Here is a 26,893-nt window from a genome sequence, read left to right as displayed (position 1 = left end):
AAGAAAATTTTCTCCGTATGATTTTTTTAGAAGCACAGAGAAAGAAAAAATCACTTCAAAGTAGTGATCAAGAAGCTGGATCTTGAAGAAATGTATATCAATCAGAATAGGATTTGTTACGCTGCTTCGACAAATAGCACCAAAAACCTCAGTGGCTTAACACAAAAGAGTTGTTTCTTGGGCACACAAAATCAGTGGTGAGTTCAGGCTATTCTCTGAGGCTGGCTGTCCTCCTTATACAAGCTCAGCATGTAAAGTTTCTTCCACTTTGTGACACCACACTCTTAACAAGTACCTCCATGATTGCAGCGGCAATAGAGAGGGCTAGGGGAGTTCATAGCAGCAAGTGAATTCTTCAGCCCCCAAAATAGCACACATACCCTTAATCACAGTCCTTTGTCTAGTGATCAGTTGCATGGTCATGCCCAATTCATGGGGAGGAGAGGTATAGAGGGACTGGGAAACACAGTGTATAGAAAAAGGGGAGGAGAGAAAGAATGGTGAGATTTTGAATATCTGCAAGATGGAAGGGGTTTTGGTGGCAATAATAGAGGAATAAAATAGAGAAGACAATGTGGTTTGGTTAGGATTTTATATTTGTGTTGCAGAGTAGTGGGATATAAATTTGGAAAGATAGTTTGGGATATTGTGAAAGGCCTTAGAGTGCAGGCCAAGAATCTGTTTTATTGGTGACATGGAGCTATACCGGTTTTGGGAAGTGTATGAATGATCCATTTGATGTCTTGTGTACTTGCTAGGTGGTGACTGCTGGGGCCAATTTGTAGTCAATTTAGAGACATGAAGATCAGTTAAAGACTTTCTTCCAAATCAGCTTAGTATAAGGAAAATACCTGCATTCTGGTGTTCTTGGGGAAAATGCAAAGGACACTGTCCTAATCCATCTTCCCTCTATGTGTGTCCCAGCTGAAGATTCTTTTTTGCATCCTATCTCACCTCATTCAATTAACATACCCTTTTAAAAAATCACTTTTAAGACCCACCAACAGGAAAATAAGATGCTGAATAACCACACATCACAAAATATTTATATTTACAAATACTAGTGATATCATGAGCGTTTAAAATGTGTTAGGATATCGCTATGTGAGGATGACAGGATTGATGTAGAAAACTCCCATTACATGACAGAGCAATGGAAACAAGGAATGATTCTGATTTATGACTGTATTTACCCAGTATGAATAAATAAATAGCTACTATTTATTATGTGCTTAATTACTATGTGCCAGACACCATGTTAGTACTTACATCCTTTAACATGACCCACAGGCCCAGGATGGTCTGGCACCAGCTACTTCTCCAGCCCCCATCCTTCCACTGAGCCCCTCTCACTCTGCAGTAGGGCTCTGGGCTCCTTGCCATCCTGCCTTCCTAGCTGGCTCTGACTACACTTGTCTATGATCAAATGTCACCTTCTCAAAATGCTCTCCCTGGCTACCCTACATAAAAGAGCAGCATCCCCAGTTATTTTCTATCTCTGTATAGTGCCTTGTTTGTCTTCATGAAGTTTGTTACCCCCAGAGAGATTCTGTATTTTTCATTTAGTACCTTCACTCCTTGCCAGAATATAAATTCCATGAGGTCAGAGATTTTTCTCTCCTGTAACAGTGCCTGGCACTCAATATCCATTTGGTCAATTAATACATGACTTATTTAAACCTCATAAGAACTCTATGAGGTAGGTACCATTAATTTTCCTATTTTATAAACGAAGAACTCAAGTCCTGGGGTGATTCAGTATCTCCTTCAAGGTTTTACAGTAAGTAATCTGCCAAGCCAAGATTAAAAGCCAGGACCGTCTGATTCCAAAGCCCCTACTTTTAGCCATAATACTCGTCTGGTGATGCGATACTAAGATCATGGTAATTAAAAGTTACTGTAAAATTATTCCTTGAGAATGTGTATGCTTGAGCCATTTCTCTGACATTAATATATATTTATTGAAAACATGATAAATATTTCTATATGTATGAGAAAGTGAACTTACTTCCCCCTTCTCCCCCTAAAAATGGTGTCTTGTGGAGCTAATAGATGGTGATCTCAAAGAGCGAATTTGCTCATATGGGCCAAATGTTTCCTCCTGCAGAGTGGGCTGCTTCCCAAAGAATTAGCCCTCCTCAAAATGAATTATTAACCCCAGCGTCCTGGCCAAATTCCCACTTGGATAGCCTAGGAACTGTTCAAAACTTGGAATCTATTGAAATTAGCCTGGCTTGATTGCAGTTTCTGCATTAATTGTGATATAATAGAGTTTCTCCAGAGATTTGAGCATATATTATTCTAATGTGTATAAGCTCACTTTGTCTCTTAATCTTTTTTAGTTTCTTCTTCCCCTCGTGAGATATAGCCTGAATTTCTTTATAAGTTTTTGTTTTTGTTTTAATTTCCCAGAATGAATGACAGTGAGCTCTTTTTTTCTTGGACTTGTCAAAGCTTTTTCTCACTTGAATGACTAGTTAGTCTCCTGGTCATTATCGCAGTGTGTTGCAGACATTAGCCACAGAAGTTTCTAGATCCCCAACTCTCTTGTGCAACTATAGCCTGGGCTAGGGAAAAGTTTGCTCCATGAAATTTTCCTAATTGTTTCTTTCAAGTTTCTTCAAGAAGCTTATGTTCTGGTGGGAGACATATAAATATTTTAAAGTTTAAATTAACTGACCTAATGGTGGAACTATTCAGGACTTCCATATTCATCCTACAGTTATTGGCTTTTAATTTCTTTAGGCAATTTTGTTAAATGTTATAGGCCACTTGTGTTGTCCATGAGCAGATATAGTATCACTTACATTCTGGAGGGACAGAGAGGTATGAGTTTAGTTAAATTACTAAATCTTACACAAAACTAAAATACCTTAGAAATTCATTGCCTTGCATTGTTTTGATGGCAACTGTAGACCTCATATAATTAATCACATCTTGCCAATATCACATAATTATTTTATCTGTAAGTTGACCTTGCTTGCCTTGAGTTGGTATAATCAAATCTTCAGTGTAATAGATTATATTAGAATGGGTAACATCACCAATGTTTTCATATCCAAAGTTTCTCCCTAATCTATATGAAGAATAAGAATGAAGATTTTGTTAAAAGACAAATAATTATTCCTAGGAAGTAGTTAGCCTCATGGATTTTCAACATAGGGAAAGAAATTGAGAACTCGAAGCTTAAGTTCTTGCATTTAATTCTGCCTGGATCACAAACAAGTAATAAGTCACAAATGCTTCCTGCGTTCGGTTCTTTACCTTTATCAAGTGAGATGAGACAATGGATATGAGCCATGTGCACTTAGAACTTCAGCAGCTAATATTAGAAAAATGCTTTGAAAATGACAGATGGAAAGAGCTATAAATGCAATTGCTAATGGATTTATGTGTTCTCTCTCCCTCCTTCCAACCTATTTCTGCCAGTATTTTCCAAAAAATTTCCCAGAGCTCCACCTGAAGTGTGACCTGATGACACCATAGCACATGTGTTTCCTGAGTTGGTTGAGTGTTTCCAAAATGTATCTACACTTTAAATTCAAATGTTTATCCACTAGGGTATTAAATTATGGAAAGTGTTACTGCCTTGGAATGACAGTCATGTACTTCTGCCCAGACTATTATGACAAGTTCTATGGGGCTTTCTACAGGTTTTTCCCCTTCTTTCTGAATCAATATGGGCTAATAGAAATATATAATTTCTCATGAAAAAAATCCAGATTTTCATTAATGTAAATGAATTGATAGAGAATATGCTTTTAAATCTGTAACATGCAGAATTTTTCCCTCCCCTTGTCATTAGTCTCCTCCCAACTAAGTGGTTCTAACTGCTAATTTGAGAATTACCGGTAAAGACTAACATTTCCCTTGCTTTCCTTGTGCACTCTAAATGAGACATTCCCTGTTTCAGACTCAGGTCAAGCACTGAAGAAATATTCATTCCCTTACAAAATACTTATTGAGCTATACTGCTCTCCTAGACTTTTTCCTAAGAAGCTGGACATACAGCAATGAACGGAACACAGAAGAGAAAATCCAAGTGCTTATTAGTAAATCCACCAGAATGTTTCATTTGGCATTTTTTTGTAAACATCTAGATTTGTTCATAAAGAAATCAGAAAAGCATTCGTCCTTTGGGGAGTATTAATTGTTTTGCAAGAAAGTTATTTATCTTACAAAAGGACTCACTTTAGCGAACAGCAAATTCCCTTCATGATTCAACTTAGGATATTTCAATTTGCATTTACTTCAGTAAAGCACAGTCTATGTTGAATTCCCTTGCTGACAGGTTTTATGCTTACAATAACTTAGGGCTAATAGTCCTAAATGTCCAAAAGAAAGTAATGTCTCCAGAGAGTGTAGTTCTAGGTTCTTCTATAACATCTTTAGCATTCCATTCACTTAAAATGAAAACAGACAATGTGTTCAGGAACTTATGGGAGAGAATTAAAAGAAAGCATAACCAGTCAAATGCCAAAATGCTAATTTCAATCTCTGTTTCTACATTGCTCCAGTCACCTGACTTGTTAAAGATCTCGCCTGGGATGAGGCAGCTATCCATCAATGTTCGTAGAATTGTACAAATACCACAACAATAAAATGAAGATAGGTTTATTCATTCCTTGTAGTAGTATGTTCCCAGGCCATTTCAAAATTGGCTAGTTAGGTTGGAAAGAAGATGAAGACTTTATAAAATAGTGGCTTATGCATTTCTTCCTTAATTTCCTGTTTGTGCTCTACACTGTATGAAAATTTTACACCTACAAATACCTGAACTGACAAAGTCTTTCCTTTAGTTTCTGCTAGGTCAGACTTGGTGCTAAATGGAGGAGAGTTTGTCAGTATAGTTTCCTCAGTATCCAGGTCAAATCCAAGTTTCACTCTTTTTTTTTTTTTTTTGAGATGGAGTCTCGCACTGTCACCCGGGCTGGAGTGCAGTGGCGCAATCGCGGCTCACTGCAAACTCTGCGTCCCAGGTTCAAGCGATTCTCCTGCCTCAGCCTCCCTGGTAGCTAGGATTACAGGTGCCTGCCACCATGCCCGGCTAAATTTTTTTTTGTATTTTTAGTAGACTTGGGGTTTCACCATGTTGGCCAGGCTGGTCTCGAACTCCTGGCCTCAGGTGATCTGCCCACCTCAGCCTCCCAAAGTGTTGGGATTACAGGCGTGAGCCACAGCACCTGGCCAAGTTTCACTCTTATATGGGGAGCCAGAGTCCTGAGTTGAATGGTGATTTCTATCCACACTTTTGATCTCTTTGAGATAATTTTCATTCCTCCTATTAATCTCTTGCTAAAAACTATCCTCTCTTACCTCCTGTCAGTAAATGTCTTCATTTAGATAAAGCATAATCAATATTTTCATGGTACATACATACAAATAGTATCTTAGATTTGCTTAATGATTTTCTGCTTAGAGTCTAAAGGCCATTTCTGGCTTATTTCTTGCCATGTGGCAATCCTTAAGTGTTTTGCTAACTTAGAGAATGAAACCCACTCAGCTTCTGTTGCATGAGGTTATATTTCCAATTACTGAAATAAAGGTATTTAAATTAAATATTTTAATCATGTATATGATTCAGTCAGTAACACATGAGTAGCCAAGATACCTTTAAACAGTACTTCAGGCTACAGTCGGACCTTTATGTCTGCGGGTTCCACATCTGGGGACTCAACCAATTGCATATTGAAAATACTCATGAAAAAAAAGACAACAAAAATAACACTGCGACAGTAAAAAAAAAATGCAAATAAAAAGTGTAGTATAACTATTTACATAGCATTTACATTCTATTAGGAATTATAAGTAATCTAGAGATCATTTAAAGTATACAGGAGGATGTGCATAGGTTATATGCAAATACTACACCATTTTATATTAGGGACTTGAACATCCTCAGATTTTGGTGTCTGAGGGAGTCCTGGAAGCAATCCCCCACAGATACCTTGTTTCAGATGAAAAAGCATCATACTCTATGGGTAACTGGTTAACTCACCTTATTCTGATATATGAATGCCATTCACATTATGCTGGATATGGGTCAAACTTAAGTTCTTCTGCGAAAGCCACAACATACCAGGCATCAGAAATGCTAGAGAGTTTTGACCATCATTCAGAAAAACAATTGTTTAACAGCAACCAACAATTCAAACTATTTAACAGGCACCAGCTGTCAGAATGAATGCTCAACTAATCAAAGCAGTTGCTGGCCATAGTGGTTCATACCAGTTGAATTTAGCTGCATTAAAAATTTGTCCTTTTAAGGTTCTGTTTTTGTGGAGACAGCCATTTTCAGGGCTTCCTAAATCCTTGTAAGAAATATTTTTTTGCAAATACAGAATTATTTATTTCTAAGAATATAAAGATATACTACTAATTTCTAATATACAAATCAGGAGGAATAAGAAATAGCTATTGCTTTCTATCAAATCTTACTGCTTAAATGGATTAAAAAAATATGGCTGGTGTATACCTTCACATGTTTATATTTTAAATATGTCCACCATTATTTCTCTTTCTTTTGTCCAGTTGATGAATAGAAGCAAATATAGTAGAGAGATGATTAGACTATTTTCTGCTGAGGTCAACTTGTTTACCCAAGCTAAGAAAAGCCTTTTCTGAATATTTTCTGATTTTTTTGTCCAAATTAGGAAAAAAAAGCCACATATTAATATTTAAGTAAACTATAAACATATTATCAGCATGTAGCCTTATTTTTTGCCAAGAATACTTTTAATTTTATGTCTGTACTTTCTTTTAGTCCGTAAGTTTCCAATTTATTTGTATTTACTCAGCATTACATTCCATTATGGTGGCAAAAGGTTAAATACTATCAAGTGGTTTGATATTTTAGTATTTAATCACTTTTGTCTTGAACGAGTGAATGTTTAGTCCGTAGATATCCAGATCATGAAGATATGTATATTTATTTTGGGGGGGTTGGTTATGGTGTAGATTAGATGGTTTATGATCTTATAATTACCAGAAAAATACATGTTCACAGGTATGATGAAAAGACATTTTGAAGGTGCTCCATTTACTAATCAGTTGATTTCGTCTATATACAAATTAGAAACTCACAAAGTGATTTTCTTTTATATGCTCAGAAATACTTTATATTTAATGTATTCATGCATTGTAGTTTAGGTAAAATAGTAATGGGGCCCAAAGATAGACAATGTTGTGGCAGTACCTTGCTCTGTCTCCATCTTGATTTAGTTTAACTTTCACTGCAGAGGCTGTTCTAAAAAAAAGGGAAGGAAAAACAAATTGATAAGATAAAACTGTGGGGAGTTCCAAAACAAATACTGCTAACTGACCTTTTTTGATGGCCTGGGTAAGAGCTTTCTTATTATGGTTGGTTATTATAGTTGATTGCTTTATTTACTAGTACAATGCAGAACAAAACTAAGGTAAACACTTGGGTGATATCTTGTTTTACTTTGTCATATTTTGTGGTAGACTGGTAATGATGCTTCTCATGTGTTTTTAAAAGTCAGATAAATTCTGAAACATTTTAAGAATATGAGACTATAATTAAACAGAAAAAATATCAGCTGTTTTGAGCCTGCCTTTCTTAGGGTGTTCGTCTAAGTGTCTACTTGTATGAAACACTCATTTATATGCAGAAAGAAGCTCTCTGTGTATGTTAGAAAAAGAAAGTAGTTCTGAACCTTTCAGCCAAGTTCCTAATGCTGTTGTTTTATACCTTAGAGTTTTCTGTCTTGGTGAACTTTAAAAATGAAAGAACTAACTCTTATTAAGGGGTTGTGTTTCCTAGCCCTCCTGATTGAGACTTTCTCCATAATATGGTGCAAGAAATGGTCAGTCACTACGAAGGTTCTCCTTTTAACCACTCCTGTCTATCACAAGAAGTCATTAGTTTACAGCTACTTCCTTCTTGTTTTTATAACTTTTAAACTTATCATTAACCCCATTCTGTTATCCCATACTCTGAGATGAGCAAAGAAGATACTATCCACATTTCCATTGCTTACTCTAGAGATAATAACCTTTTTGAAAAAAAAAAAGATAACCCTCAGCTTCTTTAAACAACCTCTTCCTCTTTAAATCCATGTTAGCTATCTGTTGTCCAACTAGACCTTCAGTGCATTCTTATGGTAAATCAGACAAAATTATTCATAGCATAATCTGTGCAAGTAAAATTGAACAGGACATACTGAAATTATTTATTATAGCTTTTAATGTTGCTTAATAATTCCTTAATATTTGCCCCAGATTTTTTTCACCTAGACTTTTTTTTCCTGTTACTAAAGAAATGTTGTAATGGACTAATCACTAATCCTCATTTCCTTCTAACTCAGTCTCATAAGGCACTGTGTCTGGACCTGTTAAGTAGGATTGTTGTCATAAGATTAGATACAAGTATCTCAGTTGTCTAGACATTATATAACTCTCTGCTACATACTTCAGACTCTTGTTTTAAAGCAATCCCTTAGCCTATTTAAAATGAATAAATTAAATGTTAATGAAAAGTCCAATGCATTTATTTCTTTTCCATAGTGTGTCATTGTCACCATCTGGATTTGCCATTTCTTCCCAGTTCTTTACATGTATAAAGTTTTATTCTTGTTTTAAGTAAGAGCTGATTTTCACTATTTCAATTTTGATGTGGATAAAAAGTTGGTATTTTCTGCCTCTTTGTGTTCCTAAATCTTCCTTCTCATTTTCTATCTGGCTTTTACCTCCACTAACTTCCCTTTCTGTAATTTTAAAATAGTATTTTGGGGATGCAAAGAATTCACTTGTCACCTTTTCAAACTTGATTAGTTCAACACGTATTTATTGGTTACCTCTTAAATGCCAGGCAGTGAACTAGCTTCTGGTAGTAAAGTACGGATAGCCAGTCTCTACTCTCAAGGCACATATGGTCTAATAGGGAAGACAGACAAACAGGCAAGCATTTGTAATGCAGTGTGGCAAACGGGGAAAGATAGGGTGGCAAAGAAAGACGTAGGATATGGGTGTTACGTAACTTGCAGGAAAAAAATCTGGATATTGGCATCTATAATTCCTAGGTAGAAACAAGATGTTCCATAAGAGTGTTCTCTGAGATCATGTGTGTGAAATTTGTTTTCACTGGAGAAATCAGGGACATCTTAAAAGAGAGGAAAGCCAGCGAGGTTTGGCCAAGCCATTTTGCCTCCGTCAACCTCAGTTTTGTTAGGCATAAAATAAGAAGTTTGAGTTAGATGACCGCTAATATCCTCTCTAGGTCTAAAACTCTGAATCTGAGTTTTTCTTTTGCAGTTCACTGAAAAATCTAAATAGCCTAAACCTGTTTTGAAATCTATTTCAACAAATGACCCATAAAATAAATAAGTACAAAATTCAATTTTTTGGAAAAGTAGTCTGGCCGTAGAATTGAGTGGCCCCATAAAATATTAATTTGGTCATAGTGTGGAAATGTGAAATGATTGTTAAATGAGTCAAGGCCTTATTTGTGGCTTTTGGCTCATTTAGTAAGATTACCCATTAGCCATGTAGGCAGCATAACATGCATGGCCAAGCAGCTCATGGGAGCATCCTAACAAATGTTAAATAAAAATTATCTTTCTCTAGCCTTGGGAATATATTTCTGTTATATTCAAAATAAGATTGTGCTCAGCTTTAAAGTCTCAGTCAATAGGAAAATAATTATATTTGTTATGCTTGAAATTCTGAATCTTATCTGCAATATTTTTGTTGCCTTTTTGGAAGTTTAGAGGTAAAATGAGTGTTGGTGGTATCGGACCATCACTTAATTCCATCACTGCCATTCATATAAACTCACTTGATTCTGTTAGAATATGTATATGTAACATTTCTCCTTGCAGATGTTTTTGTTTCTCCTTATCCTAAGGTACTCACCTTTTTTCCTTTTAGTCATTAACTTTGGTGTCTTAAGACATTCCTTCTCCGCTTTTCTATTTTATCTACATCTTAATAATAAATTTAATAACTGTTCTTAAAATCTTTGGATGATAATCCATCAGGCTCATTCAGTATTCCTTTAGCTTATCTACAGAAGAGAGTATGCTTTTCTCTTTGCTCTTTTTAATGAGGCCTTCCCACTGTGGCTCTCAGTATCCACCAAACATTTTAATTTCTTAGGATCTGACAATTATTAACATCTCTCAAACCTTTTCTGAATTCTATAGGAGGCTATTATTATAATTCAATCTATTTACTTCCATGTAAACTCAAATGGAAGTGAATCTTCCTGAAATGGTCACTTTCCCCTCCTCCCAAATATACATCTGCCATTAAATTAAAAAACATTACTAATTTGAATGTGAAGCCTGCATTTCCATAACACCAAACATCTGGATGAAAAGTAAAAAATTCAGAGATGTTTTCAAATATCCGAATATTGTGTTCATAAAACAGTTAAATGATTGTCTCAATCTCTCCATATTCATCTGAGTACTTATGCATCTTATCTGTGGCACAGCCAGTCCTTTCTGTCAGGAAACAGCACCAATTTCAGAACTAATGCATTCAGTAACAAGTATGTATTGAACACTTGTTCTGTAGGAAATACTGAGCTAAGTGCTGTAGAAAGTTTGAGGTTAAATAATTCTTTAACTCTGCCCTCAAATGATTTGCAGTCCAGTGAGGGATGTGACACAGGTGCACATGTATACATAAAAGACAATATGAAGTGAATAAAAACACAAGAGAGGAGGAAAGAAAGCACTGTGGAAGTTTGTGGGGAGTGACTACTTCTGGCTTGGGAGGGTTTTCCACTGTTTGAATGAACTATGATGGATTAGTAGGGCTTGGACATGCCAGAATCGTGGAAATGGAGGGGAATGTTTTGATCCCACACCATTTGAAATATACTCTCCTTCAGCAGCCGGGTAAGGGAATTTTACTGAATTCAAATAACCCTAAATTAGCCAGATGATTGCAATAGTTTTTGTATTATTTTTCATTATCACAGCCTTTGGTTGCTGTAAGGTTATTGAGTCTAAATGTGTTTTTCAGGTATTTTGATTATCAAATTTATATTCATTTCACTTTAGAGTTTCAACTTTACACAAAAAACATGCTAAAATTTACTCTCTATGGTCATTTTAAGAAACATTGTTAAAATTCCACCTTGTCATTTGCTTTTCGAATTTAGATACAAAATGTTCACACTTTCATGTACATTGCATGCTTAAAGCCTCTATCTTTCAAATTTTATGATTTAAAAAATCTATTGGGATCACTACTCTGATAAACTTTTAAAAAATCTTCAATTCTAAAGTTTTTGCTATTTGACCAGAATCTGTATTGCTATAGAAATTAAAGCAAAATGAATCATTTCTTTTTTATTCTTTTCCTTTTTCTTCTTCCTCCTCCTTTTCCTCCTCATGCTTCTCCTTTTTTTTTTTTTTTTTTTTTAACAATCATTTCTAGCTGGAGGGGAAAAGGGAATAAACTGAAAAAGGTCCACATAATCCAAATCGGTCTATGTTTATTATTCAGAACTAATTTATTGGCTGAAGTGACTGAAAGGTAAAAGGTGGTTACTTTTAGGTAAAGTTTATAGGTGTAGAAACGATGTTAGGAATATATTTTCTGTATCTGTTGGCTCTGCTTTTGTCTGCATGAGCTTCATTCTCAATCAAGTTCTCTTCATTCAGTGACAATAATAGCCATTAGTAACTCCAGGCACACATTTTACTGACTTAGTAACCCCAGTGAAAAAACAACACTTTTAACAGTTTCATAACTGACTCCCATTAACCTAACTTGGGTTCCATCTTTAATGCAAACAGCATGATTATCTGTGTTGACTGGCTAAACTTGAGTCACTTAGCCACCACTGATTACATCCCTAAATTAAAATCAGGGCACTCTTATCAAAAAGAAAGGGGAAGTGGTATTTCAATTAAAAATATTAATGTTAGAGTGGAAAAGTCCTCCACTAAATGTTAGGATAGCAGGTGGTTATCCCAACTCTTACCAAAGCCAATTTATATGACCTGATGTAGATTATTTAAGCCTTGTGAGCCTCGGTTTCCTTATTTACATAAATTAGGTCTCAGATCAAGTTCTGTCCAAAAATCTTTGGACTCTTTTTTTTTTTTTTTTTTTTTTGAGATGGAGTTTTGCTCTGTCGCCCAGGCTGGACTGAGTCGCTCGGCTCACTGCAAGCTCCGCCTCCCGGGTTCACGCCATTCTCCTGCCTCAGCCTCCCGAGTAGCTGGACTACAGGCGCCCGCCACCACGCCCGGCTAATTTTTTTTTTTTTTTTTTTTTTTTTTGTATTTTTAGTAGAAACGGGGTTTCACCGTGTTAGCCAGGATGGGCTCGATCTCCTGACCTCTTAATCCACCCACCTCAGCCTCCCAAAGTGCTGAGATTACAGGCATGAGCCACCGCACCCGGCCCCAAAATCTTTTGACTCTTAATGTTTTGTGGTTCTGATTTCAACAGCTAGAGACAAGGATGAGACATCCAGAAAATATAGAAATTTGAATATAGAAACACAAATCAAGAGATACATACTGTTTCATGCAGAAGTGCTTCAGGTAGAAACAGGAGTTAGCTTGGCAGTAGAATAGCAAAGGATTTTTACTACATCCTGATGTACTGGCTAGAAGCTCAGACAACTTGAGAGGGTTGTGTATATGTTTGTCAGAGAAAGAGAGTCAGAGAGATTCAAAATTAAGCATCACAAACCTTGTTATTACAACTTCTATAGGTGTTTTATATCCCATGTATATCTTTGTTAACCTTCTCTCATTTTACCATAACAGAGACTGCGTCCCAAGCACAGTCTTGTTTAAAGTAACAAAGCTTGAATGAGAACTTATGTCTAATTTTTTTCATTCTTTCTACAAATATTTAGAGACACTGAGAAAGAATGGGGGAGAAATACAAAAGTTAAAAATCCCAAGGCTTTACCTTGAGGAAGTTATACTTAACAGAGATATAAATAAAGCATGACAATGAAAAGCTAAAAATTATGAATACCAAGTAAATTGCTATGGGAATTTAGTGGAAAGGTGATTGTCCTCCACTACAAGGATGGGATTGGTTTAAAATATCTTAATTGTTTCTTGTTTTATCTTCAAAATTCACGAAAATATATATTCTATTCATAGCATAGGAATTCTTGTTTACAGAATAAAAAGGTATTAAAAAAAGAAAAAGGTATTAAATTAAGGACCATTGAATAAGTTTGGCATTCCAGGAAGATGCGTTTATTTATTCAGGGCTTAAGTCCTTGGCATGTCTGCCTGTACCCTATTTTAGTAAGCATAGTCCTAGATCAATAAATGATATCTGCCCAATGCATTTTTATTATCCACATTAGGGAAATTACTTAGAGGGTTTCATGAATGAGTGGCATCATCAAAATGAAGGTCACCTGGATTAACTCTATAAAATATATGCCTTGGAGGGGAGCAAAGAAAAGGAAGTGGTCATCATAATGATCACTTTCCATGCATAATGATCAGTTTCCACGCATGTACTCAAACTAAGACTCTACCCAACAAGTTACTTGACCATTATCTAAATGATTGTATTACACTATCACAGAAGTAACTTGACAAATTGTGCATTGTTCAGTCAGCACTCATCTGGTCAGCTTTGTAGACCAGCAAGTGAGTCAGACTTACAGGGTAGGAAGGTAACTTAAGAGGCAGAACTGATCTTGGAGATGTCTTGCTTTAAAAAATGTCCATGAAAGAGTTACCACAATGCAAGAGAATATCTCATTGTATAAAAAAGTTAAGTGACTATAGTTTCTTAAAGATATGAAGTATATAAATTATAGTTAATTTATATTTAATTTATAATTAATTTATATAATTATATATAATTACAATTAATTATAATTTTAAAATTGATATTATATTTTTAAAATTATTTAAAGCAGTACACACATAGACAATATAGGAGTATATAAACAAAAAGTTTCTACTCGATGCCCTACACAACATGATTCAGTGTATATTTTTCCAGATTTTTTTTGCGCTACAAGCATAGATATGTGTATATTTTATTTATTTATTAATCAGAAATAAATGATACATATTGTTCTACAACTTGCTTTTTTTACTCAATAATATATGGGGACAACCTTTTCATGAGAACCTCACATTTTATTTAACTGTCATCCAGTTGATAGACATTTAGGTTAATTCCAAATTTTTAGCCTTCCAGATACTAGCTTTTTCATTCATTGTACATATCTAATTTATGAGGTGATTTGAGGTATCACTTAAAATTTCAAAACATCAATATAAATTCTTTTAACACAGAATAAAGTTTATGATAAATTGGTTTCAGTTTGGATATCATCACAGAGGGGTTAATCACAAAAGAAGTTGACTATTAGGTGGTTCACCCATAAAAAGTCCCAGTGATGTATTCCAAGGATATTGTAGATCTATTTCCATGTACTTGACAAACCTAGTTAACCCCAAAAGGAAAATTAAAAAGAAGAAGGCCTAAGGTCACTATCTTGAATAAAGATAGCTTGCTTTCAAATGAGTCCTTAGAAGAATGGTAATTACAATACATTTTCTATCTACGTGAAGTCATAAGCCATACATGTCTTCTTAGCTTTTTGAACAGTTGTCAGTTGATATTCAAAGTTAGAGGATTGTTGTGATTGACTTCTATTCAACAGTGGCTTTAGAATTCTTTCGAGATGTGAAAAAGTTTAACCTATGCTGGCTCTTTCTTGATGAGGGGAATCCTAATCATTGCTATCAGGTTACAATGACGTGTGCTCTTATGAGTAAGTTGAGCCACCTCTGGGCCACTGGACTAGAGTGGGTTGGCCCCCAACAGTGAACAGACTAAACTATAGCTTTAGTCCAAGAATATGGAAACTGACAACAAATTATTGCTTGTGGTCTACTTCCAGTTTTCAAGTGCAAGCATACCAAAGTTTATTTTAAATTTGAGCCAGTCAGACATTTAGTAATATACATCAAAGAAGAAGTGAAGGCTTCCCATGTTTATTATTTCAATAGGATGTCTGTTCTAATAAAGCAGAAGAATGCATATGATAGATCATGTAGTAGAAATACTCTAGTTCCACAGTTTGGCCTTAAATGTATACATATATTTGTAAATTAATCCAAAACACATTGTCATGGTTCCAATTCCTCTGAAAGCTGATTGTTTTCAATCCCCTTTTTAATTTTAGAAATATAGTGGCTGATTGCCAGAGCACTTTGAGGTAAACAGTCCACCCCATGTATAAAAGGGGCATGGAATCATGAATGTTCAAAAACCACAGACCATTATTTAAATAAGTTAAAGTTATTATGGTCTTCCCTATTAATTAAAAAAAAAGCCATCTGTGCAAGGTGAATTTTGGTAAGGTACCAATTTTTTTAATGATTGTGGATGGAATTTGCAACTGCCTTCATAGTGAAAGTACAGCTCAGGGATTCCCAAGATAAAATGCACTGTTTATGTAATTCTGTGGCCATTTGACTAAATTTCTAATAAAACACTGGAAAGAATTATTGTTATTCAATCAGAATTTACAAAATTTACAATCAAACTTGAAGGAATTGGCTCTCCAGTAATCTCCCATTTCAACTATTCTGCTTACACCCTAAACCTTTATTTCATCTAAACCTTCTCTCTCTCTCGCTTAAACACACATGCACACACACACACACACACACACACACACACACACACACACAGAGAGAGAGACAGACAGACAGACTCTACAACCCACATTTTGTCAAAACTGCCTTGGACAAATGCATCACAACAGTGAACAGTGAGCAAGACTAAACACACAAAAAAGATCAAAAACACTGCATAAAGAAACAGCACACTGGAAGACATTACCAATGCAGATCTAGATACTCTTGTGATGCATCCTTATTTTCATTTTAATTTGTGCTATTTGCAAAATATATTTCTGTTGGGTAAATAACCTATAAACCTAGGCTCTAAAAATCTTGGAGGGTCAAAAAGTCAAAGGGTGCAACTCCCCTGAATTTGGCAGGAAAATGCCATAATAGAAAGGATTTTTACATTTTTTTTGCCACCGCCCCTCCCACCCCAACCAGTGTTTTCAGTCCATTAAAATTTGTACTCCAGGCCTTTTCCAGTTTGAAGCCACACTGGCGTCAGTGATGAGCAATCCTTCTTGTTTGTGCAGTCATTCATTATCTCCATTACCAAAAGGAGACTGGAGGACAATTACATTGTTTGGACGAATCAGAGTGTTAGGAGGAGTATTTGTCATGGTGGCAGAGTGCAGCACCTGACAGGCAACGATTGATGACCAGGAATGAGTGTGAGTGACCAAAGCAGCCTCATAGGATGCAAATTACTGACTGTGGATTCCAATTTATCCTGTTCATTTTTCTTGCCCGTGCTGAAGACCATTAGTGGTTTTTGAAGCAGTGAAGGGGTCATTACTAATGTGGGTAGACTCGAAGCAGGAGGGGGAAAGGAGGGGAAAAGCCTTCTGTAATTACACAGCTTTCAGGAACAGGCTGGAGGCCCTAGCCAAAAAAGTGTCAACACCTCGCAATCAGAAAAATTTATTTTCATTTTATGCTTAACCCATATTAACTCAACATTATCATCTTTCTTTGTTAACATTTGCAGAATATTAAAAGCCTGGCTTCTATATTAATACAAATCTAGTTAACCCCTTTTGCTATACAGGGGATTTTGTTTAACCTAATGGCATTTGGGTTTGCTAATAAGTAATTGTGCGCATTTTGGATAATGTACGCTATTATAGAAGATGAAATACCTGAAGAATAAAATCTTAGATGATTGAAAAACATTCACTCTCTCAAATACTGGAATGATTAGAATATTCTGAATGGAATACTTTGTTGTTCCTAATGTCACCCTCTAATAATGTTGATGGGAAGTATTTATTACAAAAGGCTTTCTACTTTATGAATGACTTTGACATGCTAGATAAAAGTTTACTTTTTTGTTTAAGAAAATCAGTGAATTTAGAGCAGGGACCTATTTAATAGACATATTTCATAATTATGTATACCCAGTACAGTGTCTTTTAAAATAAAGGTATGGGTCTAAACTAACAATCCTTGATTTTAGAATCAGAGAGGAAAGTGTCTTGATAATGGAAGAACTGTTCATTATAAATGTTGGTGAATTTCGATAGGAAGTGAAGAATTAGAAAACACCAAAACCTATGGCTTCATTCTCTTATTGTTGTAGTTGAAGGTAAAATGTAAAATTTCTATATGAAGTATTGCACATAATTGGCTCCTTTTGCTGTGTGATCATTGGGTGTGACCCTGTTAGAGCAGTAACAGTAACAATGAAAGAATCTTCTGTTGTCCCATAAAGGAGTCAACATAAATATACTGTAAGTAAACTGTGTTGTAATTGAATCAGTTGCCATGGCTTACAAGAATAGTTGTGATTATATACTACCTCACTTTCTAAACTTTTACTGTCAATAATCTCAAATTTAACTAGAGAAGGATGATTATATTGAGCCATCTCACAAAGATAATTTAGAATAAGGGCTTTACATAGGCTGTCTAGGGAGGAGAGTAAAAGGGGCCTGAAACCAGTTCCTTTAGTGCAACAGAAGCGAGTTAGATGACCAAAATTCTGACACCATCACAAAAGTGCTTTGCATTCTGACTGATTAAAGAAATTGCATAACTTAAACTCCTTGCTTTTTACTGCTGGCCCTACAGAGTATGACAGAAACATGGGGCTGCTAATACAGGTTTCTGGGTTCTTGTCCCTGCCCACATTTCTCAACACATGATAAAAAAGATGCAAGTAGGAAAATCAAGCCATAGACTAAAGAAATCACCAACGGTGGTTTTATTCTTAGAAGTAAGTGACTCTTTCTTAACTTCTGATCCATCTTTTAAAACATTTGTTTTTCCATTAGCATCCGTACCCTTCCGAAGAGCAGAAGAAACAGTTAGCGCAAGACACAGGACTTACAATTCTCCAAGTAAACAACTGGTGAGTGACCCAAAAATCAATGTCTTTCTCCCATGGCTAAAATGAGATTTCTAAATAATGGTTTTCTCTCTTTTTTTTTTTTTTCTAAAACAAATGAAATCGAGGAGGATAACTTCTGTGTTTCTACCTCGAGGTGTGAAAGGGGTGATTAGGGAGAGGAAAAGGTAACCTAGGGAAATGGTTTTTGTAGGATTTATTCCTTTTCTTTTTCTCTCTCCCTCTTTCTTTTCTCTTCTTCTCTATCACTCTTCCTCTCCACCTCACTTTTCCCATCTCTGATGCTTTAAAATTCTCGAATTGAGCCACAAATTCTGTTCAGGTCATTCCTATTGAAAGTAGTCACTCCGCGGGTTTTTGCACAGTCCTCATACGGAGTTACCAGTTCTGGAAAGGATTCTTTTGTCTTGGCTTTGAGCGGTGATGTAGATACAGGCTTTTTAGTATCTCCTAATAGAAATTTATTTACCCTAATATTTTTTTAAATAGGAGAAAAGGTTTTTCCATTTTTGCGATTTGGTAGATTACTCCCGTGCTGGTGTATGGACCATCCACCCTTTGTACACGGCTTAGAGGGTAACTGAGGAAAAGGAGGGGCAGAGGATTAAATAAAATGATCACAGTGGCCAAGAAATGATATAGGAATTACTTATCAAAATACTGGCCCAGGTTTTATCAGCAGCTTAATTTTGTTCAGTACATTCTTGGGGTGATGTTCAGATTAATTGAACTGACAGTTCTCTTTCAAAATTCAGGGAAAGTATTTGCACGGATTTCAGGCCTTATACAAACTTAATTACATGGAACTCCATTTTATCATTCTAATTCCATGTAGCAGAGGTTGTATTTACAAATGAGAAGTCTCTGCCTTTATTCACAGCTTTCCTTAATATATTTATCAAAGCAGGTTCATTTACAAAGTGCTCTATCTGTGGGATACAGGCAGGCAGACATTAACAAAGCTTTTAGGTTTATCAGGCTCGCTGCCTGATGAGCTACCCGAGGGTCAATTGATTTTGTGGTTCTGTGATTCATTTTTTTCTCATTTTTCTAGGATCACAATGAGAGACATGCTTGGAGAATTAGCCAGTTTGTCTGCCTTATCTGTCAGGCAATTTTTTTTTTTCCCAGGGAAGTCAAGCTACTTAAATTGGCCACAGGAACTGCCGTTATCTGACTTTAATGCACCCTATAGTGTGGATAGCATTTCAATTACACCAGTAACCAAAGCTTAGCTGCAGTCCTTTTCATGCCTAGTGCTGTACAGAAAGTGATGTGCCTACCTACAGAAGCAGAAAATTGAGTTGCCTTGCTTCTGTCAGGGTGATTAATGCAGAAATAAACTGCTAACCTGAAAAGAAAGGCAGAAAGAAAAGATAGACAATACAGACTTGAATTCACTTTAATTTTCTTCTAAAGATTGGAACTGTGTACATTTAAAGACACCCTTTAGACCAAAAACTTGGAATAAAGGCAGTACATCCCCCTCTGGAGGGGGATGTGTATGTGATTATACATTGATAGGCGCTTCATAGTGTAAATATATATGTAAACATACATATTCTCATTTATGTTCCTAGCACAAGTTATCAGTGGTCTGAAACAGTAAAATAAATGTATTCTTTGTTAACTACAGGAGACTTGTTTGCTCTGCACATTCTTTTATAGCATACTGATTACCAGACTGAGCTAATATATACACATTGGTCCATGACGCAGTTAACATTGCTTTAGAATCATAATTTTTGTACATTTGAGGCAATTGAGGGAGCTTGTGATGGGAATTTCTGAGAAAAATAAAATTTCCGCATGGATATTTGGCATTGATATTTGATCTTGTTCTTTTTGAAAATACTGTTCCTTATCATCCATTACCTATAGTTTTTGATATACTCTTCGCACCTGAAGAATGAAGAATTTTTAGAATCTACAATCTAGCATTTCCCACAATTAGACACCTGGCTGGAACTGGAAAGAACACCCTTCCTTTCTGAATTCCATTGAGCCCCAAGGCATATACACGGAGTTCAGTGAGTGTGAGAGTTTAGGTTTCTTGTTTCTCTATTATTTGAGCCATATTTGCCACAGAATGCCAAGGGTTAGGATGTGACAGTCTGTCACACAGCATACTTCCCATAATACAGCATAAACGTTGACACTTCTGTCTCTACAAAATAATTCCATCTTCCTAATTTTCACACTTCCTTCAGAAAAATCCTATAATCCTGCCCTCGGGTCCAAGTCTTAGTTAACGGCTACCGTAACTTTGATAATAAGGTGTTACTCATGAGGATAGTATAGCAAATACCTCTAAAAAACTACCAAGAATTTAATGTAGGGCCCAAACTTCTGGGGATTTCAGAAAGAAATTTGAAAGTGAACACCACTTATTTTAGTGCATTTTGAACTTGCCCAATGCCTTGATGAAGTCAGCTTCAAAACAGAGAAAGCTATTCAATCTACTTTCAAAAGACCTCACAGTCACTGTTCTTAACTACAAAGTAATCACTAAGAGAGATGAGAAGAGTGGACTAGAAACTATTTCTCCAGGCCCTGAGAGTGCTCAGTCAAAAAGCAGAGGGGATCAGAGTGTAGTTCCTAAACAAACTCATTCAGTCAGCTATACTAGGAAATAATGCCCACTTCTCCGATTGAGACCAGGAAATTAGGCTTGTGTGCTGCAAGATTTGCACCCAAGGAATTAGAGCAGTAAAAAAGCATAAAAATCAGACAATCATGGAAGACTTGCGGTTCTGGTTCTGCTTCTCACTTACCTCTTAATATAGAAAGGCCACACAAGGTCAGGGTAGTTAAGCAGCACTGAGAAATAACATCTGTAGTAACAAGCGATGGAACATGGCTTCACGCACTTGATGAGAGCAATAAGCAATAAAAACAGACCTGTTAATATCAGCCAGTAATGATGAACTTTAGAAGAAATAAGCAAAAAGGAAGTTTAGGAGATAATTAAGAGAATTAAAGATGCCTTGTGTCTTTGCAGTCAGTGCTAGAAATAATCTTAATGGACTTTTCCAGTGTATTTACAGTAGGGAGTATGCAGAAAGTGATGATGCAACCAAATCCAAATGTGCTTCAGGAAAGGAGTGAAATTTATGACACTCAGTCATTTTTTCCTACAGTTAACTCTTGGAAGTCCATAAATCATCAATCACCTAATTAAGACTTTCTTTTAAAAGATGATAACCAGATCTTCAATGTGTGCACCTCACTGTCAAAGCTAATCACAAGTGATAAGACTCACTTTCTATGCTGGTCAGTTGGTGGAGAGTCAAATCAGCTGTAAAACAACCAAAGTACACGCGTTAGGAGAGAGGAATAGCAACGAACCAAATATCCTCAACCTGAATAACCTCCTTGCAATGGAAAAGCAAATATGGTGTAATTTGACTGAATATTGATTAAAGCTCTAAAGGTAATATAGCATGATGGGTAAGCAGTCAGGCTCAGGAATCAGACCGTGTGGGGTTAAAATCCTGGTTCCACCATTTGATAGATGTTTGACCTTCAGCAATTACTAAACCCCTTTAAGACTTAGTGCTTTCATCTGTGAAATGGAGATAATGGTCATATATATCTCATATAGTTGTAAGACTTTAAGAAACTCTGCATGCTAAGTGGTCAGTATGGTGCTGGCATGTAAGATAGCTATTGTTAAAATAGTTAAAATAAGTAATTGTAAAAATGAAAGAGAAACATGATTTCATACAATGATATAAAGAAGACATTAAGTAGCTTACAAATAGGAATGGAGATTTCTTCCAGGGGTAAATAGGCATGTTTAAGGGGGAAAAATTTAGTGCAGACAACTTACTGTGCATAACTTCTGTATTAAACAAAGATAGACTTTTGTAGCTTCTCAGATGATAGTTTTTTTTTTTTTTTTCTACAGTTCTTTGATGGCAGGGAGGTAAGATTAGGGAACTGTAGGAGGTAAGTGGCTTCAAATAACTGTGAAGGTTAGGCGTTTTGAAAGAAAGTTCTGGATATTAACACTCTGGTATTTTCTCAGGAGACATACTTATAAGCATTTATTGACAAAAGACAAAGAAGGTTATTTTTTAAATGAGGAAATCCTTGCTTGAGTCATTTGGTGAGTTGCATTTATACACATCTTTAGTAACAGTAATCATTGAAATAGAGGAAAGTCTTTGACAATTAAAATCCTTTAAGCTAAAATTACAAAGGAAAATTATAAGACATCTCCATGTTCTCATGTAACTTTTCTCAGTGCTATATCAGAATTATAATATTAACTTAAATGTTCCTATTTCCAGATTAATTTTAAAAGGAAGGAATACTGTACTTTTAAAAACTCATGTCACTGCAGTAATTACAGCCTAGTTGTATACCAACAAACACAACACACAGGGTGACTTATTGACAGTATACAGGTATACTAGGAATAAAGGATTTACTTTCTTGATAGAAGGCTGTCTCCAGGCCTCCAGATAAAAAAGCATGAAACTGAAATTTCAAAGAACTTTCCAGTTGAAGATGGTTCAGAGAGTTCCTTTGTATAATGGCCTCTCAAGCTGAGATTAAATACCTGTGTCCTGTTTGCCCCACCTTCCCATCAAAATGGTCTCACAACAATCATTCTACGTCTAACAGCTTTTAATAATCAACACCCACTTTGTATGACTTCTTCATGGAAAGTGGCAGTTTTGCTTTACCTGTTTCCATTTGGCCCCATTGATGAATTTTTCAAGAATATATAGGAGCTTGTTCAATTACGATTAAAGGACTGTGCCGAGAGAAAAGAATCAGTTTCCCTTTCTAGCCTTCTTCTCTTTCCCTTCAGGAAGGCTCATTAACCACCCAGGTGACTTGGTTTTCTAAGGTGTGAAATGGAATGATGCTGACACAAAAGGAGAATTTGTGTGTGAAAACATGTTGTAGGTTAAAAGTGCTCTGAAAATAAAAGGTAGCATTGTTAGGAGAACTTCTCAGCCCTGATTAAAATATGGACAGGAACTGAGTGGTAGCCTAAGGAAAGCAATCATTTGCCTCCTGGATCCATCAGCCCAGATAGATTTGGGTGCCCAGATGCTTTTCTTTGCTGCTTATACTTGAAGGGCAATAATAGTGTTCTAGGTGGGTTTCAAGACAGAGGGTCAGTTTCAGGCCTTGGTCAGTGAATCTCCAAGCCCAATTTGAAGCCTAATTAGTAGGAGGCAGGGTAAGTGCTAGAAGAGGTTGCACTTCTTTACAGCAAAGAAAAGTCATTTTCAAAGGTGTGTATGTTGTCATTCCACTGCAAGGAGAGCAGACACCAGGAAATATGTTGTGATATTAGGACATCAAGAGTAAGCTGGGAATTGAGGAAAATAATTTCATAGTAAACATATGGAATAATTGGCCAGTGGTGCAAGAAATCTAAATGAGGTACAGAGACAGCTGGACACTTTTATCTCAAGAGAGAAAGGATTGAAGGATAGAGTGATAAACCAGGGAGGTGGGGTCGAGATAAACCTAAAGGGAACAAGCCTGCTGGACTAAATATCCTCTCTCTGCTCAGCAATTTCCACCGCGGCCATTTGTTAAACGCATAGCTGCCATCTTCAGTGATTATTTCCAAGTAACATCTATGTTTCTGAATAAAAATCCATTTGAATCTCAAGTCAGATTTGCCAGGTGCTAGATTCATTGTCAGCATTTAATGTGCTGAAACTGCCGATGCTGATGAAATGAATACAAAAAAGCTTTGGTGAGCTCTAGGTGAAAATGCTTCTCTTTCAGATCACTTCCTATGCCAGAAAAATCAGTGGCCGTGGAAAGAGGCAGAGATGCCAAGGGGTGTGAATCCAACCAGCCCCATGAAGTCTTTTGCTAAACTAGAGCATTTTCTTGCCGACAGTCACTCATGGGTTGAAATAACTGGGCTTGTGTTAGCAGTAGAGTTTCTAATCTCTTTGCATCTCTGTCCAGTTTCCAGTCATTCTGTCTCCATGGTCATATAATCATTTCTTGGAGACCTACAATTATTTCTGAGAAGAAAACCAAAAGAAGGCGGGGAAAGAGATTAAAAGATGTTAAAAGAAAAACACACATTATTAATGTTTAACCAGAGGGATCGCCCTGAAATTTAAGTGGGTTTCATTTTGCTCTGTCTACAGGAAATGTAACTGGGGGTAACCAGGGCATTGACACATGGCATACCAATTGTGAATAAGAGGAAGCATTACCGTATCTTCCCATTTTACTTCCTGCAGCAGATTCATGAAATTCCCACACTGAGCCGAACACTGGATGTATTTATTGTACCTAGGCAGCTGTGCCTCCAATCCATTGCGGTGTCAGACCAGCATTTCTAGACACCCTTCTATCTTGTAGAGATGGGAGTACCATTTCCAGAAATTTAGATTCAGACCAAATTTGGGCAAGCAGCTAAGACTCAGCAAGAGCCTTTTAAAAGTGGTAAACAAAAGGAGTAGAGGGGGAAATAAAGGAAGGGAATGCCAGCGAGGGGACTCAAAGGGGAGGTTTGCTGCAATCCTTTACATTCAATTATACCAGCTCCTTTGTGCTTTTTCCCTTTTGCTCTGCAAAGAAAGAATGAAATATGGTTTTCATAGCAAGCTGGCAGCATTATCTCAGGATGCATATTTCTTTGCTGGGTTGGAATGCCAATAAGGGGAGAAAAAAAGTTCCTAGTTTAGAGGAAAGTACAGTGCTACAGAGAAAACACAAAACAACAAAAAAGGAATGCAACAAGTTTCTGAAACAGTTCCAAAAAATGCCCCTTAAAGAAAATATTTAAATGAGAACTTTTTGGAAGATAAAATTTCTCATGCTGAAAGTAACCATTTTTTGCAGAGTCTCTAAATATGGAAAGAAATTTGGCCAAAAACGTAGACCCTTTTTGATATTTGAAGATTTTTAGAATTATCCTCCTCTCTTTCATTGATGGAGACAATAAACTCCAGACAAGTCCTGTGTTAGGCACAAGCCTCTACCTACTTCTGCACTTCATTATACCAGTATTTGGATGGGAGACAAAGTTTGCTCAAATAAGTCCTTTATCCATCTCAATTGGCATGATCTACATGGTTTCTCAAAGTAACACAGAAACAAAAGTCTATATTTCAGTGGGTTGCATGATTTAAAAGAATGATATTGACTTAGCGATTTACTTATTTTTAAACAGGAAAAAAGTTGAAGATAACTCATTGCAAATATTACACAATTATCCCATAGCAACTGATTCAGTAAGTATTCCTAGCCCCAGTCACAGATGGATAAAGTAAAATTGTATTTTAAAAAAACATTTTTTTAAAAAAGGAATTTTCAAATTACCCTCTAACTTATTTTCTAGAAGGCAGAAAATAGAAAGGGGGCTTGTAAATGCAAAATTTAAACAAGCCCCTAAATTAGAAGCTATTGAAAGGAAGGTAAAAAGATAGATCAGAATATACCAATATCATATTGTTTACTTTCTCTAATTTTTTTACTCTTAAAAATAAGAGTCTTGGGGGCCATAGCCTGGTTCTGAATCTTCAGTCCTTTTTACTATGGTGGTGCCTTTACCAGTAATTTTTTTTTCTCATTTCTTCCATTACCCACAGTATTGAGTAGTCTTTAAGTTCTTTCCAAAAATTCACTCTCAGAGAAATAAGTGCTTTATGAATAGTCTTTAGACCAGATCCTCTTTCACTTCACTCATTCATTCAATGCATTGATTCACTGGAGAGCAGCCTTCTAAAAATTACTTAATTGAGAATCTGCTCTGGTAATGAGTAAATGTAGGTCCTATTAACCTCGTGATCTTGAGGACTTGTTTTGTTGTTGTTGCTGTTGTTTTCATTGTGTTGGATTTTTCAAGTATAAGAGAGTGAGCATCGGTTAGGTGGCGCTTCCTGGTGCTTACTCCAGGAATTCCGCCCAATTCGCGACACTCAGAATTGTTCCCTCTATTCTCTAAATAAGGAAAATCATTTTCTAATCTGCAAAATTATTAGAAACCTGGGTAGAAAAATACATAGAGCCTTACTTTGTAAAAAATATTGCTTTCTCCAAGTCTTTTTCCTACTTCACTGTTTTTACTGTAATTATAATAGAAAACCTTGTTTCCAGTTTTGTTTTGTTTTGGTTTTGTGCATAAATCAGAATCGTCATTGCTGACTGATCATTCGGTGGAGATTTTCAGCTAACTCCCAGCCCTCATCCAGAATCCTTAATTCTGCACTCAGGCTGAAACACATGCAAGGTTCTTTCTCTTTTTTCCTTTGCAAGGTAAACATTTAGAGATATGAGATTTCCCTGTGTCTCTAGATACACTTTATCTTTTAGATAAGTCCCTGCAGGCTGAGGTTTCAGGCTGTTTAATGTCGACCTCCTAAGTTCCAAACTTCCTTAAAGCCTTTAGATAAGCAACCAACTTTAGCAGTAATTACTCAAGGAGTGGATGGAATAGTGAATTAATCCCCAAAGATCTGGATTCAAATCTACTTCAAAACCCACACGTGAAAAATCTCTTTAATGGTCTTGGCTTAATGGTTTCAACTCAATTCTTGAGGAAGGAATGGGTCTTCCTTGACTAAGAGTATCTTGTAAGAATGCCTGCTAGAGAAATCCTTTTTCCGTGATTGATAGATTGATCTCCTTTACAGAGATGGTCACAGATGTTTGTATACTTTTACCTATCCAGTATTGACATTTTGGTAATTTCAAAGTCAAACTGTCTTATATTTTGAACCTAGATTTTGGATATTAGTTCACTTAAAAATTATAAAACACATGCTACCTTTCTTGATCTCTGCACATGGTTTTCTAAAATTCAGAAAAATACGCTCTTCCAAAAGAGAAGATTCTGATTCCAGTAGTCTGATGGATAAGCATACTCAACCTGCATGCAACACAATGCATAAGGAGGTGGGCAAAATAGTCATGGTGGTGGTGGTAGTGGTTGTGGTTGTTG

At 36.1% G+C, this 26,893-nt stretch overlaps 1 protein-coding gene across 9 annotated transcripts in view, besides 1 other annotated feature; it reads left to right on the top strand.

Annotated features, from left to right (window-relative positions):
• Positions 1 to 26,893, top strand: part of MEIS2 (Meis homeobox 2) — a 212,108-nt gene that overhangs the window by 133,030 nt on the left and 52,185 nt on the right. For 8 of the 9 annotated variants that reach the window (NM_002399.4, NM_001220482.2, NM_170676.5 and 5 more), the window contains one exon: positions 17,882 to 17,958. The exons of the other annotated variant lie outside the window; for it this stretch is intronic. In NM_002399.4, the coding sequence (NP_002390.1) occupies positions 17,882 to 17,958 (77 nt within the window). The remainder of the gene's footprint in view (positions 1 to 17,881; positions 17,959 to 26,893) is intronic. 9 annotated transcript variants of the gene reach the window in all.
• Positions 17,985 to 19,678: an enhancer, noted in NCBI's record as "VISTA enhancer hs181". NCBI's record gives its function as "enhancer in: midbrain (mesencephalon)[4/4]" and the evidence as "EXISTENCE:transgenic organism evidence [ECO:0001131][PMID:17130149]".

This window comes from Homo sapiens, chromosome 15 (assembly GCF_000001405.40).
Source record: "Homo sapiens chromosome 15, GRCh38.p14 Primary Assembly".
In the NCBI taxonomy this organism is placed as follows: Eukaryota; Metazoa; Chordata; class Mammalia; order Primates; family Hominidae; genus Homo; species Homo sapiens.
This window is presented reverse-complemented; position numbering and strand designations above follow the sequence as displayed.